Source organism: Homo sapiens, chromosome 5, assembly GCF_000001405.40.
Source record: "Homo sapiens chromosome 5, GRCh38.p14 Primary Assembly".
Classification (NCBI taxonomy): Eukaryota; Metazoa; Chordata; class Mammalia; order Primates; family Hominidae; genus Homo; species Homo sapiens.
In genome coordinates this window covers 112,331,491-112,346,608 of record NC_000005.10, presented here as the reverse complement: position 1 = coordinate 112,346,608, position 15,118 = coordinate 112,331,491, and the positions used below count along the sequence as shown (strand labels likewise).

The following is a 15,118-nucleotide window of genomic DNA, read 5'->3' as shown; positions in this document are numbered from 1 at the left end:
AGTTTGACTTCTGTCAGTTTTTTGTAACCTCTAGGCATTTTATTAGTTCTTTCACTTTTGGTTTCTTTTGTTAGGTAAGAGCATACAGGCTGGGCGCAGTGGCTCATGCCTGTAATCCCAGCACTTTGGAAGGCTAAGGTGGGTGGATCACAAAGTCAGGAGTTTGAGACCATCCTGACCAACATGGTGAAACCCCATCTCTACTAAAAATACAAAAATTAGCCAGGTGTGGTGGTGCATGCCTGTAATCGCAGCTACAGGAGGCTGAGGCAGGAGAATCGCTTGAACCCGGGAGGCGGAGGTTGCAGTGAGCCGAGATCACACCACTGCACTCCAGCCTAGACGACAGAGCGAGACTCCTTCTCAAAAAAAAAAAAAAAAAAAAAAAAAAATGCAATGTACCTAACTTTAAAGAATTTTTTTCTACCAGGTGTGTTTCATGGAATTACAACATATGGTTATATCTTTGTGAATAAATGATGTGGCATCCCAAAACGATGGCAGTCTTGGAAACAGCAAAAATAATTGTGGAGTGTGTGGCTAACAGTCTTGTTCTTAGTCTTTCTAGTAATCTAAGACTATTACATTAATGCATTGATCTGCCTTGTCCTTGTCAGTGAAATCAATTAACTATATCCCATTTCAACTCACTATTTTAAAAATTAAAAAATATCAAAACTACCTAAATTATAAAATACATAGGTGTTTATATTGGAAAATTTGGAAAATGTAGTAGTATAACAAGAAAATAAAAATCATCCCAGGTTGCTGGGGCTTTATGTGTGCGTGTGTGTGTGTGTGTGTGTGTGTGTGTGTGTGTGTGTGTGTATATATATATATGTATATATATATATGCATCCTGTAGCATTGTGCACATCCTACAACACTGCATGCGTGTGCACACATAAACACACACACGTACACACACATGCCCTCCCTGTAAAAGGGCATTAGGTAACATTCTGTGGTGATGGTGAATTGAAACTCACCAAACTGTATTCTTAAGATTTGTACATTTCATTGTATAAATAATATATTGCAATCCAGTAATAAAAAATTATTCTACAATCTCAGTACCCAGGGACAACCATGGTTAACATTTTTGTATATTTCCTTCTAGTCTAATGTATCTTTTTTTTTAAAGAGATCTTACAGAATACTGCAGCCTACTTTAAAAAATTAACATATCTTCAGCATATCTAAGTGTCATTAAATATGTGTTCAAACATGGTATGTAACAGCCACTGTATATCTATTATCCATATTTACTACAATTTTATATAGTCAGTTCCCTATTATTTCATATTTAGGTTGAAGACTTACAAATGTAATTGCATAAAACTTTTTTCTCAGTTGTGGATTTTTTGTGTATGTGTCAATTTAATTTGATTCAACTCAGTTTTAATTCGAGAATCTATGCTTGGGGGCCAACTCTGGACATGCTGTGGGCCATTTCAGCCATGCCCCAAAGGGAGCCTGTGGTCAGGCTGTGCCAGATAGGCAAGATTGAAATGAAAAGAGTAATACCAAGTCATTATAATATGTGAGTGCCTTGTGTCTCAGGAATTGTAAATTTTGGCAAAATAAGATTATATTGGTATAAATGAGGAAATAATATAGTTACCATTTATTGAGACTTCTTATGTGGCAGGCACTATGTTAAGATATTTATAGTTGTTTGTCACAGTGGCTTTGTAAAATAGACATTCTTAAATAAAAGTCAAGCACTCCAGTCTCTTTCTGTACTGTACAGTCTACTTCTACCAGAGAAAGAGAACCAGTAGGTGCTATATATTCAGTTTCATTGTAAGTCCTTGGCTTCTGTGATTGTGTGGGCTTGCCAGTGAGTCTGACTTCCATAGGGCAGCACCTCGGGAGGGCAGCCTGGGACTCCTGGACAGGAGTTGAGCTGCGGACACAGGCAGAATTTCTTCTCCCAGAAGCCTCAATTCTGCCCTTCAGGCCTTGTAATGGATTGAATCTGACCCACCCAAATTGTCTAGGATAATCTCGTAAACAGCTTATAGACTTCAATCACACCTACATAGTATCTTCACAGAAACACTTAGTGTTTGATTGAATAACTGAGGAGCATAGCCTAACCAAGTTCACTTAAAACTGTTATCAGAGTTGGTCAGTGAACCCCCATGTACAACAAACACTATAAACCAGTCTTGCCTCATCCACATCTCCATCTGCTTCTCTCATTCCTATTTTATTTTGAAGCAAATCCTGGTCATTGTAAATTAATGTTCTAGTAAGTGTGTATTTCTAGCCCAGGGATGTCCTACAGAATTTTCTGTAAGGACAGGACTTGAGCCACATGTAGATGTTGAGTACTTGAAATATGACTAGTGAGACTGTGGACCTAAATTTTTACTCTTGTTTAATTAAAGTTTAGATAGCCTCATGTGGGTAGTGATTATGATATTGAACTTAGATTAGCCTTTTTTTTATTTTTTAAAAAACCATAATCCTATTATCTAGTGGAACGTTTAATAATTCCTATAATATTATCAAATATCAAATCAATTTTTTAAAGGAGATTGGTTCTCACTATGTTGCTCAGGCTAGAGTACAGTGACTATTCACAGGCACAATCGTAGCATACTACAGACTTGAAATCCTGGGCTCAAGCAATCTTCTTGTTTTGGCCTCCCAAGTATATGAGACTTCAGGTGCATTCCGCCATACCTGGCTTATCCAGTCAATTTTAACATTCCATGTTGTTTCATAAGTGTGATAAATGGTTATGTATTTTTAATAGTTTGAATCAGAATATAAAAGAGGGCTGTGCATTGTAATTGGTTGAGTCTGTTTTCAGAAACAGTGGTTTTCTCTCTCTCTTGCTATTTATTTGTTGAAAAAAATTGGATTTTTATTCTTGCTAGATACTCCTACTCATTTGATAGATTATTTTGTGAAGGTTTGGTTTTGTAAACTGAGTTAAAAGCCAAGTCTGGCTTCAGAACCTAAGCTCTGTTCTGAAATGATGGTGGTCTTGGTGGTGGTGGTAATGATGATGGTGAAGACAGTGGTGGTGAACGTGGTCGTGGTGATGGCAACACCAACAACAGCATAGCTAAACTTGAGTACTTGCTGTGTGCTGGGAACTCGCTAAGTACTTTACATACATTATGTCAGTTCTCACAGTGGCCCTGTGATGTACATGCTGTTAATATTCCCGTCTTACAGATGGGACAAATGACTTCCCCAATATAACACAGCTGGTAAGTACCAAAGTTGAAATTCAAACCCAGGCAGTCTGGATCCAGAATCTGAATTCTTAATCACTGTAGTACCTTGTCTCCATACTATATATTTCTTCTTAAGCAGAAGGACTGAGAAACTCATTTTTAGCTGCCTCTTAGGATGTGTTTGAAATTATGAACCTAAATTTGACCAAGTGTTTTTCGGGGGCTGTTGGGAGAATGGAATCAATTAATGCTTCAAAGCACTTGAGAACCCTTAATGTAAAAAACTGTTATGGAAAGTGTATACCTCTCTGTAAAGCCAACTGTCTGTTATTCCCAAATTCTTATTTGTGCTTTGTATGCTAGTTGCTTCCAAATGGGATCTATTTCTATCGGCCACATTCTGAATATGACACTTTTCATTTAAAGTCAGTTGTACATTATAGAAATCCTCTAAGAAACCTGTTTAGAAACCGTTCTATCCAAAGTACTTTGCATAGTTTCTAGGTTATAAGGGATTTGTTTATGGTGACAAGATTGACTGCTGAAATGTGTGCTTGGGAGTGAATGCCTCAGAAGTGTAGCAATTTACTACAAAACGTGTGTATCTGTGCACGATGGAATTTTCTTACTTTGTATGCCAGTCTGCCAACTGGCAGCATAAAAGTGACCTACGAGAGTCTCAGTGGTGCTCTCTTATGAAGTCCACCCCTTTGGGTCTGATCTGCTTACTTCTTCAACCCAGGTGGCCATGGAGGCAGTTGCTCCTGCTGCTGGCTGCTGACTGCTGACTGCTCTTGCTCGACTAGGAACAATAGACCCTCAGCTCTAATGCATTTCACATGTATTGGATTAAACTGGTAACTAATGCATCACGTGGGGAAATTGGCCTGGCTGATAAAAGGGCCTTGAAAATGTGCCTGGTGCTTTTGCAACTCTGTAAAATCTGCCACCAGCACACCTACTTGTCAGGACTGCCTGTTACCTCCAGCCCACCACACTGGATTGTGCTGAGCACAATTTCTATGAATAAAGCATTCTGTGAATGCTTTAGAAAAGTTATCAGGAAAGACCAGTGATAAGATAAATTTCATGTTTCTGTAATTCAGTGGGAAAAGGAGCAAAGACAGGACAGGAATGGAAATTGGTGAGCCACTTGGGATAGCATGTTATCACGTCCAGTCATCATGGTTGTCTGATCATACATGTTGTGTATAGTATTTCTCTTCATTACCCAGTATCTTGTCTTTTATAAAAATGGTTATTTGTTAACTTCTTTTTTATAAAAGGGAAGATTTTAATATGTTTTAGTTTGTGTCTCCCAAGAATATATTTCTGTGACAGAGTTTTACAGTTTCTAGTTGCATAATGTTTCGTGAATTCTCTTGATCCATTCTATAGGAGGAAATGGTTTTATTTGACTTTAAATATAGTTATTTGAAGAAATTTCCCCACATTTAATTTGTACCTTTAATACTGTTATACTGTCTTCTCATAAGCTAAGATTATATATAGGATTTGGGATTACTGTCCAAAAATATTTTTTCCATTTTTCTTTTTGATACAGGGCTCTATGTTTAGAGTGTTATTCAAGACGTAGTTATGGATGAACAATACAACTTTTGGGGTGTGTGTGTATGTGTGTGTGTGTGTGTGTGTGTTTTAAATAGTGACAGGGTTTTGCCATGTTGCACAGGCTGGTCTTGAACTTCTAGACTCAAGTGATCCACCTGCCTCAGCCTCCCAAAGTGCCAGAATTATGGGCGTGAGCAACTGCACCTGGCCAAGCTTTTAATTTTTAAAATTACTTTCTTTTGGGATTGTTGGATGTGAACCATCAACAAAGATGTTTTTAATGGTTCATCTGCCTTGCTGATTTGTGAGGTTATGAAATTGGTTTCAGAGGATCCTATTGCTGTGATATTTCAGTTGACAGTTAAAGCATCAGATACTTTAAAGCTACATTTGATGATCCCTGCTATTAAAATAATTTTTGGACCAACGGTACCGAATACAATACATACACACACAGTATGTTTTTGGAAAATTATTCATTGAAGAACTGGTTATGAGAGGAGTAAGAAACATTTGTATCAGTTTTAGGAAGGTTAAGGCATTATAATCAAACACAGTTATATGTGGGATTTTTGGAAGTTGATAAGCATTCATTCAACAATTTAATTAAAATTTGAGTGTCCTGCATACCAGGCTCAGGGGACAGAGCAATGAACTGAAAAGTCCCTGTTCCCATGAAGCTTTCATTCTCATGGGAAGGAGACCAATTAAACAGTGAAAACATTAATATACAATAAACGTAAAGAAAAACAAAGTAGGTGATGGGGATAGGAGAGATGGCGTGTGGGGAGGATTGCTATTATGGAGTGGTGCTTGCAGAGGACCTTCCAGAGAAGGTAACATTTGAGCAGAAATCTGAATGAAGTAAGGGACTAAGCCATGTGGCTGTTTGATAGAGGGAAAGAAAAATCCCTGCATTGTGAACAGTAGGTGGAAAGGTCGAAGGGTATATGTAAATGGATACTTATGTATGAAATATATTTATGTTTACAATAGGGCTGAGTGAATGTTTTGGGCTTGCTGTCGAAATTGAATCTCTATCCAGGGAGTAGACATAGGAGCAACAATATACGTCCTTTTTAAATGGATCATTTATAAACAAAATTCATATCACCGAAAGAAAATTGGCAGAAACGTACATGTAGTTACATCAGAACTAGCGAATATAAAAGGTAAAAATAATACCTTAATATGCTATTATACATCCATTTAAAAATTGATGTTCTACAGAGCAGGGATCTGTTTTTATTGCTATTTAGTCTTTATATGAGAACTAGAAAATATTTCCTTATTGAAGGAAGTAATCTAAGTAAGACTTCCCACCCTTCTCAAACTGTTGGCCAGAGAGGCAGATAAGAAGTGTGATAAAAGCCAAAGCAGGGGTCATGGTTAAATGCTACAGCAGTGGTTCCCAAAATGTGTTCTCTGGACCTGCAGCATCAGCATCCTCTGGGATCTTGTTAAACGTGCATTTTGGGGCCCCACTCCAGATCAGCTGAATTAGGAGCTCCGGGGGTGGAGCCTAGCAGTCTGTTTCAACAAGGCCATCGGTTGACTCTGATGCATCCTAAAGTTTTAAGAACCACTGTGCTACAGAGAGGTCAAGTTGGATAAGAGCCAGAAATCTTCACTGGGGTTCCTAATTGGGTAGATCTTCCTTTCCTTCCGTCACTCCCTCAATCTTTTGCAGACTTGACTCTGACCTTAACACTTTGTTGAAAGGGCGGGGTCGATGGGCTCTCCTCCGTGACTTTTCTCATGCTGCTGTGAGCATTGGATATGAGGGAACCACATGGGGCCCTAATCGGGAGTTCTGGTTCTCTGTTCCAACTTTCTCTTATTAACCAACTGGGTGACATGACGTGAGTGATTAACTAGTCTAGGCCCTGGTTTTCTCATCTGTGAGCCCAGAGAGTGATATTTATTAATAATTAAAAGGTCTCTTCCATGAGGTCTGAAGTTATTATTTGCTTAAATATTTATGCATTTGAAATTTATAAGCTTGGCCAAGCGTGGTGGCTCACGCCTATAATCCTAGTACTTTGGGAGGCGAAGGCAGGTGGATTACTTGAGGTCAGGAGTTGGAGACCAGCCTGGCCAACATGGTGAAACCGCCTCTCTACTAAAAATACAAAAACATTAACTGGGCATGGTGACGTGTGCCTGTAATCCCAGGTACTCAGGAGGCTGAGGCGGGGGAATCGCTTGAACCCAGGAGGTAGAGGTTGCAGTGAGCCGATATCAGGCCACTGTACTCCAGCCTGGGCAACAGAATGAGACTCTGTCTAAAAAAAAAATATATATATATATAGATATATATCTATATATCTATATATATATATAGATATATATATATATATATATAGATATATATATATCTATAGCTATATATCTCCTTGTTTAAATATATTTATTTGTTACTGTATTGTTAGCTACTTAGATTTATGTGTGTTATTTGTGGTTACCAAAACTTTGACTCTCCACTGTATACTTCAGTCCTATAATAATGGAGCCAGTTTATTTATGGGGGCAGTGCTGTCAGGCCTTGACTGACCTTGTCAAGGAGCCTGACACTGTTATTTTAAACCCATCAGTGGTGTGATAGCCAGCCCTGATTCACAGCTTGTGTTTATGGTTTGATGATTAGAATCTCATCCTTTGGCCAAGGAACACAGCCACATTTGAAAAGCTCCTATTGTGCAATTCCTGCTCTCTTCGCTGGCACCTAAACCCAGTCGCCAGGCCTGTTGATTTTTCCCTCCAGTATCTCTTGCATTCATATGCTCTTCTCCCTTCATTCTCCCCCACCCTGTCACTTTCTTTTATTTACAAATGTTCTCTGAGTGCCTACTGCATGCTAGGTAAGGCGCCAAAATGGTCTGGAGATAAAGTGTGAGCACAGCAGGAGACAGAGGGAGATAGCCATTCTTGAGCAGTAGTTGGCAAACCTTTGCTGTAAATGATTAGGCAATAAATATTTTGAGCTTTGTGGGCCATTAGGTCTCTGTTGCACCTCTTGGACTCTGCCACAGACAATGTGTAAAACAATAGTGGACGTGTGTTCTAATAAATGCTTAGGCAGTGACTCAGATTTGGCCCATGTGTTGTAGTTTTCCAACCCTGTTCTAGAGGGTGAGGGAGGCCGTTAACAAATACACAATGTGTGTATGTGTTTGTCAAGTTATAACTGCTACGAAGAGAATGGAAAGCTAGGTATCTTTTTGTGTGTGGTGGCGGGGGGTGTTCTTTTTTATATACGCTGGTAGAGGAAGCCTCCCCCATCTCCAGACAGTGGGGGAAACAAATCATAGGATACCTGATGGTTTGAAGGGCCTTCCTGGTGAGGGAGCACAGGTGCAGCGACCTGGTATGACCATGTATTGGGCTTGTTCAGGTTAACAGCAGGGAGCCAGCCATGCTGGAGAGAGCCGGAGCAGGTGGGCAGGCAGTCTGAGACAGTGCCGAGAGAAGAGTTGGTAGGGGGGTCACCAGCAGACAGGGAGAAAGGGCTCCCCACAAAGAAAGTAGCTTCTTTGAAGGTTTGAAGGGGTCTGAGAAGCTGATCTGCTATGGGAAGGTAGCAGTTTAGTTTGGCTAGAGAGCAGATGAGATGGGATACTCAGGGGTGTGAGAAGACTGAGATTAGTAAAGTCAGCTTCAAATGTCATGCCAGAGGAATTTCACTGTATTCATGGGCATATTTTTTAAGGCAAGGAACACTGCTTGTGTTTTAGAAAAGGTGACACATGGCATTTTGGAGGGTAAGAGGCAGGGATGTGGATGGGAAGAAGGTTGAAGGCCTGACCTGAACCTAAGGGGATGGAGGCAAGGCGAGCGATTTAGGAGATATCTCACCCTCAGACAAATGGGGTCCTCTTTTGTCTTTCCATGTGCCCAGTGCCTTCTTGCAGTCATTGGTACCTTTGTTTCTGCTGTTCTGTCCTCCAGGGATGCCCGCTCCTGACTTTCACTTCCAAGGAATGGCCCAAAGGCTTCCATCTGTGAGAAGCCTGCCCTGACCACTCATATTAGAAGAGTTCACTTTCTCCTCTCAATTTTCCTAGCACCTTTTCCCCAGTACTTTTTTTACAATATGGGTCAGATAGGGCTTTTGTTTAGATGCCCTTATCACTTCTTATGTATTGTAACACTCTTGAGGGCAGGAGATGCTTTATTGAAATTAGGATCCTTGTATATGGTGTAGCAGGGAATATGAACTCGGGGGTTATGCTGTCCTCCCACTTACTGTGTGACCTTAGGTCAATCACTTTGCTTCTCTGAGCCTCCGTCCTTTTGTCTATGAAAGGAGACAGGAGTTTCACCAGTCTGTGGGGATCTTGTGATGACTGAGATACTGCATGGAAACAGTTCAAACAGAGCCTGAACATCTTAAGTGTTCAATAAATGTTAGCAATTATTAGTAGCATTACTGATAAAACAGTGCTTAACACGGTGGTTGATATATGGTAGATACCCAGCAAACGTTTGACATAGGGGATGTGGTACCGGATTTTATAGTAGATTGTGTTAGACCAGACTGAATTGTGGCAAAGCTGACTATAACAGATGGGTTTGGGCTTTGTAATGATCAAATTATGGAATTTCAGAGAAACTTATATGTAGCTAGATATCTCATTAATTACAGAGGAAAAGCTGATAAAATTTCATTTATATATGGTTGAAGAGCCCCAGTACACATGCATTATCAGTATTAATGATGAAATATTGCATCTTACAAAACCTTCACGTGACAGGCTCAAAAGGTAAACACTGAGGGGTAATGATTAATGTCCACAATGCATATTGTTTCTATACAGACAGGTAGCTGTTGTTGTTTGGGTTCTCAATGGCACTGTGAAATAACTACAGACAGGTTGTATTTGTTGTCTTATGAGCAAGGTATATGAACAGACTGTAAAAGGGAAGTCTCTAATGAAAAGATGCTTTTGCTCTTGAGAGATCAGAAATTGTTTTTAGACATGGCCTTGAGAAAGTTGAAAGACATGTAATTGACCCCAAATACCTCTAGGACATTTGTCAATTCTGAAAGCTATCACCTACTCATTATTTCTGCAGCTAAAAATCTTCTCTTTCTAGCTTTCTGACCTTGTATCTCAGTGGCACAGCCACCAAGCCTTTGGATGTTGTCATCATCTCCTTTCTGTACTTTTGCCTCTCACACCCTGACTAACTTTTTGGTTTTGCATTTTGGATCCACTCAGTGGTAAGCCCTAATTACAGGGCCCCACCCAATCACAAGGGGACCAGGAAAGTGCTCTTGTACCACTGGAAGTATTTGGCGAACAGCTCTAATGACCACCACAGTATAATGTGTACAGGGTAAAGAATCACCCCACTTTGAAGCCTTTTAAAGGGGTTGGCGGGATGAGGAAATCTGCCTTCTGGAACACAGGAAAGAATAATGCCACAGGCCTCCTATTTCATACTCTGGAATTGAACTCCCGCCCCCAACCAGTGACATGCAGAGGAAAGCGCCTTACTCCACCTAACTCTGAACAGCCCACTTTGAAGCTTTTTGACCTGCACTTTCTCAAACAAGTCGATGCAGGTTCAATTTCCACTGCCCCCTCCCCATCCATCTTTGGTCTTAAAATTAACTTAAAATGTGTTTGTTTCTGGATTTGCCACTGCTCCTTGAACTAGTAATGTGTGACTGCTTTCTCATACTCCTTTGTGCCTTCACTTGTGTTTCCCTCTTTCTTGGAAGACCCTTCCCATCCCACTTATCCAAACCCTCCTCATTTGTTAGTTCTCATTTCCTCCAGGAGGCCTTTCCTTGCCTGGTGTAGGGAATCATGAAACACAACTTTGAGGGCGTGTGAGGGTGGTGCCTGATGGATTAAAAAAGACTGGGGGACGGTACTGTTTCTAGACGAAGGAGATAGCAGGTGTGAAGCATCAGTGGAAAGAAGTCCAGAGTGGCTGGACCCTCAGAGTGAGGGGAGAGAAACACCAGCTGTGATGGGTCATGACTAGATCATGGAGAGAGGGCTTGGAGATCAAGGTGTAGATAATTTGGTTTTTGTTTTTATTATATTGGAATGCCATTGAAGAATTTTAAACCAGAAGATGTTAAGTTTGCATCTTAAAATTCTCTCTCTCTGGCTGCTCTGTGGAGACAGGAGCAGAAGTAGATATGGGGACACCAGTTAGGAGGCACTTGCAGTAGTGGAGATGCCTCCTATCAGGCAATGACTGTGGAGGTGGAGAGCCATGGTCAGGTTCATGCCCAGAAATCCTGTTCTAGTCGTAAAAATGTCTGACTGGCGTAATTTGGTAAAATGGCCATCTGGAAAATGCCAGTTTGAGGGCCTGATTTAATAGACATGAATGTCTAGAAGCATTCAACCTACTGGACTGCTTTTTCTCATATTCTGTATCTCTTAAACTATATAGATCTGGTAAGATTTCAAAGAAAGTGGTAAACATTTTCTGCTTATACATCTACATTAGGTTCACTTTTTTTCTGTTAAATCGATTAATCTTCCTCTTATAAGGCTTAAAAGGTGTCTGACTGTTCAAGAAGGAGGGTCCTTAACACTGATCCCCTCTGTGAGTTGGTGCTTGGGTGTTAATAGATACAGACTCTAGCACAGTTGCTTTTGTTTTTGTGCCTCTTGGCAATGGAAATCTCTCCCCTGCCCTCCTGTACTCTGTGCCAAGCCCTGGCCAGGACCTGACGAGACATCCTGTGTCCAGGGCTCCTTTGTGCCCAATCAGTGCAAAGCCAGGAGGCTTTGTTCCTCTACTTGACAGAGTGGTTATTCCTGGGCCATATTGACTTCACGAAAATGAACATGACTTTCGGGGTGAGGCTGTACCCTAGTATAGGCCAGTGTTTTGTGAAACATTTCCTAAAGTTGTGTTCTCTCCTAAAGTTTGATCTTTGCTTGGTAGGACATCTGTGAAATACCCAGACCCCTTATATCAGTTTTTATTTTCTTATACTCACTGTTGTAATCCAAAACATGTCTCAGATAGGTCTCAATCAGTTTAGGGGTTTATTTTGCAAAAATTAAGGATCATGACTCATGACACAGCCTCAGGAGGTCCTGAGAACATGCGCCCAAGGTGGTTGGGTTACAGCTTGGTTTTATACATTTTAGGGAGACAGAAGTCAGGCAAAGACATAAATTAATACATGTAAGGTATACATTGGTTTGGCCCAGAAAGGTGGGACAGCACAAAGGGAATGATGGGGTTACATGTCATAGGGGAATTTAAAGATTTTTCTGACTGGCAGTTGGTAGACAGAGATAAATTATTATATAAAGACCTGGAATCAATAGAAAGGAGTGTCTGGGTTAAGATAAGGGGTTGTGGAGACTAAGGTTTGTATTATGTAGATGAAGTCTCATATGTGGCCATCTTTAGAGGCAATAGATGGCAAATATTTCCTATTGAGATATATAAAAGGTGCTAGACTCTCAGCTAATCTCTTCAGGATCAGAAAAGCACTTGGGAAAGAGATTCTACACAGAATGTAAATTTCCCCCACAAGAGACAGCTTTGCAGGGCCATTTCAAAATATGTCAAAGAAATATATTTTGGGGTAAAATACTTTGATTTCCTTTTAGGGTCTGCTATTTGTTATGTGATGTATGTGATGTTATATACCAAAGTCAGGTTGGAATTGGTATCTTGTTGCTACAAAAAGGGTTTGTTTTGTCAGTTTTAGGATCTTTATTTTAATATTAATAATGGTTGGCTGTGTGCCTGAACTCCAAAGGGAGGAGCGTATAATAAGGCACATCTGACTGTCTGACTGCCCTCACCCCGCAACCCGTTCCCATCATGGCCTGAACTAGTTTTTCAGGTTTCACTGGGTCCCCTTGGATGAGAGGAGGGTCCATTCCATCAGTTTGGGAAACTTAGAATTTTATTTTTGGTTTACGCTGTTGATAGTATACTGCAGTCCTTTAGATGATCTAAGGTTGGTGCTGAGCTAGCTGCTTCTTTACATTTATGGGGGAAACTGATGGTAACAGTATCAAGTGTGAACATAGAATAATTCAATGTGATATCCCTCCTGGCTAATCAGAGGCCCTGGCAGACAGCCGGGTTGCCAGAAAAGCATTTATGCAAAAAGAGAACTGGTGACATGTGTCTTGGAAAAGTGGCATTAGATCTGCTGTCAGTATGTAACAGAGAGAGAGAGACTGCAACTCATACGGTGTGTGAGTGGAGGGGAGAGAGTGGGGGAGAAAACAGGACCAGAGAGTCAGGCAATTGAGAAGACAGCATTCTCTCCTCATGACCAACCTATCCATTTCTGAGAATAGGGGCTGCAAACACAGCATCCTGGATTGTCTCTGCTTTGTCTGTCAATATGTGTGTTTACTTAATATTCACACACACTCCTTCTCCTGGGGCTTGGTGTCACAGTCATTATCCTTCCATCGGAGACTGGCTGCAGCTTCCTGCGGAGACCAGCCGAGCATTTCCTTAATTGGCTGGTAAGGTCAGCATGCAGTTGACATGCACATTCCTGCCGTTTTCCCTTCCCCCCTTTTTGACATCTCCCTCTCCCACCCCCCAATATATTTCCTAGAGGGGAGGGCCAGCAGAAAGGAATTAGGAGCTTGCCCCAAGAAATGAAACCTGCTCAGGGTGCAGCTTCTCAGCCAGAGACTCAACTGTGATCTGCTCTAAGCCCTTTGGGTGCCTCCATTTTAAACCGATAGAGAAAGATAATAGTCCTGCAGTAAGGGAGCTATTGAGCAGCAGAGTAGCTACTAATGATTGCAGTATCTTCACATTTTTTAGAGGCATTGGGAACTCTATAATATCTTAAATGCAATTTATGCTTATAAATCAATACCCACCATTTCTCTCTTCTTTCCATACCACATGCTGTGTGTGATCTGAGTGTCTGAGAACCTTTCTGCAAACCTTGGGCACTAATGTCTTGATGGTATGTTGTGTTGCTTTCAAAACAGTAACGGAAGAAAGCCTTTTACTATTTATAAATAGCCACAAAAAGTATAAGCAATTCTACAAAAAGAATAATGTGCTTTTTAGAAGATATGGCAGAGTTTTTAAAAAGCCAAACTTCCACCATATCTGTGCATATTTTCAGTTGCTAATTGTAACTGTATTGTTGGTAACTTCTGTTATTCCGAGAATTAGCAGGGGGGACTAAAATATAACCTGGTGTCAGTCAAATATAAGGCTTAGGAAAAAAAGAATGCACAAAGGAAGAGGGAAAAGAAAGAAAATCAGGGATGAAAAATCATTGTCCAGGTTGGGGAGTAGAAGACTGACTCCAGAGAGAGTCTGGGGTGTCATTCAGGAGCATTGGTGCCATGCATCTCTCTTCAGCCAGAGTTTTATTATGGTCTTTAAAAAATAAAAATCAATACGCATGTATTTCATGGCAGACCCTTTCACACTCTGAAATACCACTAATGGTGACATGGGCAGTGACAAAGACAAAAGAGGAGTCAAGGTCCTGGGTGGTCCCCAAGCCAAATAATTACTTCAAATAATGCAAATAGTACTACCCACCTAAGGGTGTATGTTTCATCAAGAATAATTTAAACAGGAGAAAAAGTGGACAAAAGAAAGATGGGATGATAGTTAGGAATAGAGAACTAAAAACAAAAAGACTGTGTTTTATTCTTCTCACTATCCTTAAGATTCTGGAATTGGAACAATAGAGGCAGGACTCTGCAGCAGTGTTGGAACTCCCTCCTTGAGGATAGAGGAGGAAGTCCAGATAACCTTTGCTTTCCTTCTTGGTTCACACACCAGATCCCTTAGATTCCTTCGGTTTCTGTTCCTGTTCCCAGTTCATTTGGTCTGAGAGGGAGCTTTTTGGAGTAGTCTTGTTTCTTAACAAGAAATGCTCCTATGATTCTAACCCCTGGCTGTTCTTGGGAGTCACTTGGACAGCGCAGGGTGAAAGGTCAGGGATTAGCATTGAAAAAACCCAGGTAGTTCTAATACGCCCTCAGAAGCAGGCACCTTGTGGGGGCCATGGACAGCATATCCCTTATGGAGTTGGTAGCCTCCAGCTGCTGTCACTCATGTTGGTTAAGGGACTGGTGGCCACTTGCTTCTGGGGGCCGAGGGCCCTTGCCTCCCAACTCCATCAGCTGGACTTGCGAAGATCCTGCATCCTGCTTATACAGTGTCAGGGTGGGGACTGAGAACTTTGCTGACATTCATTGGGGTGCAGCAATAGTACCCAGAAGGCCCCGCTTGGGCAGCCTTCACCAGGTACCCTCAGCTGCTCTGGCCCCAGGCACCAAGTATTTCTGTGGTTCAGATGGCAGACAATGCTATATACAAAGTATCAGTGAGGAGCAGGGCATGCCAGCCCTCTG

The 15,118-nt window shown here is 41.0% G+C and overlaps 1 protein-coding gene across 15 annotated transcripts in view, besides 2 other annotated features; it reads left to right on the top strand.

Annotated features, from left to right (window-relative positions):
* Nucleotides 1-15,118, top strand: part of EPB41L4A (erythrocyte membrane protein band 4.1 like 4A) — a 278,107-nt gene that overhangs the window by 73,327 nt on the left and 189,662 nt on the right. The gene's annotated exons all lie outside the window — the stretch shown is intronic.
* Nucleotides 7,351-7,551: a silencer, noted in NCBI's record as "peak5419 fragment used in MPRA reporter construct". NCBI's record gives its function as "represses an SCP1 promoter by STARR-seq MPRAs in K562 erythroleukemia cells {active_cell/tissue: K562}" and the evidence as "EXISTENCE:reporter gene assay evidence [ECO:0000049][PMID:32103011]".
* Nucleotides 14,343-14,637: a silencer, noted in NCBI's record as "tiled region #6283; HepG2 Repressive non-DNase unmatched - State 24:Quies". NCBI's record gives its function as "represses a minimal TATA promoter and a strong SV40 promoter by Sharpr-MPRA in HepG2 cells {active_cell/tissue: HepG2}" and the evidence as "EXISTENCE:reporter gene assay evidence [ECO:0000049][PMID:27701403]".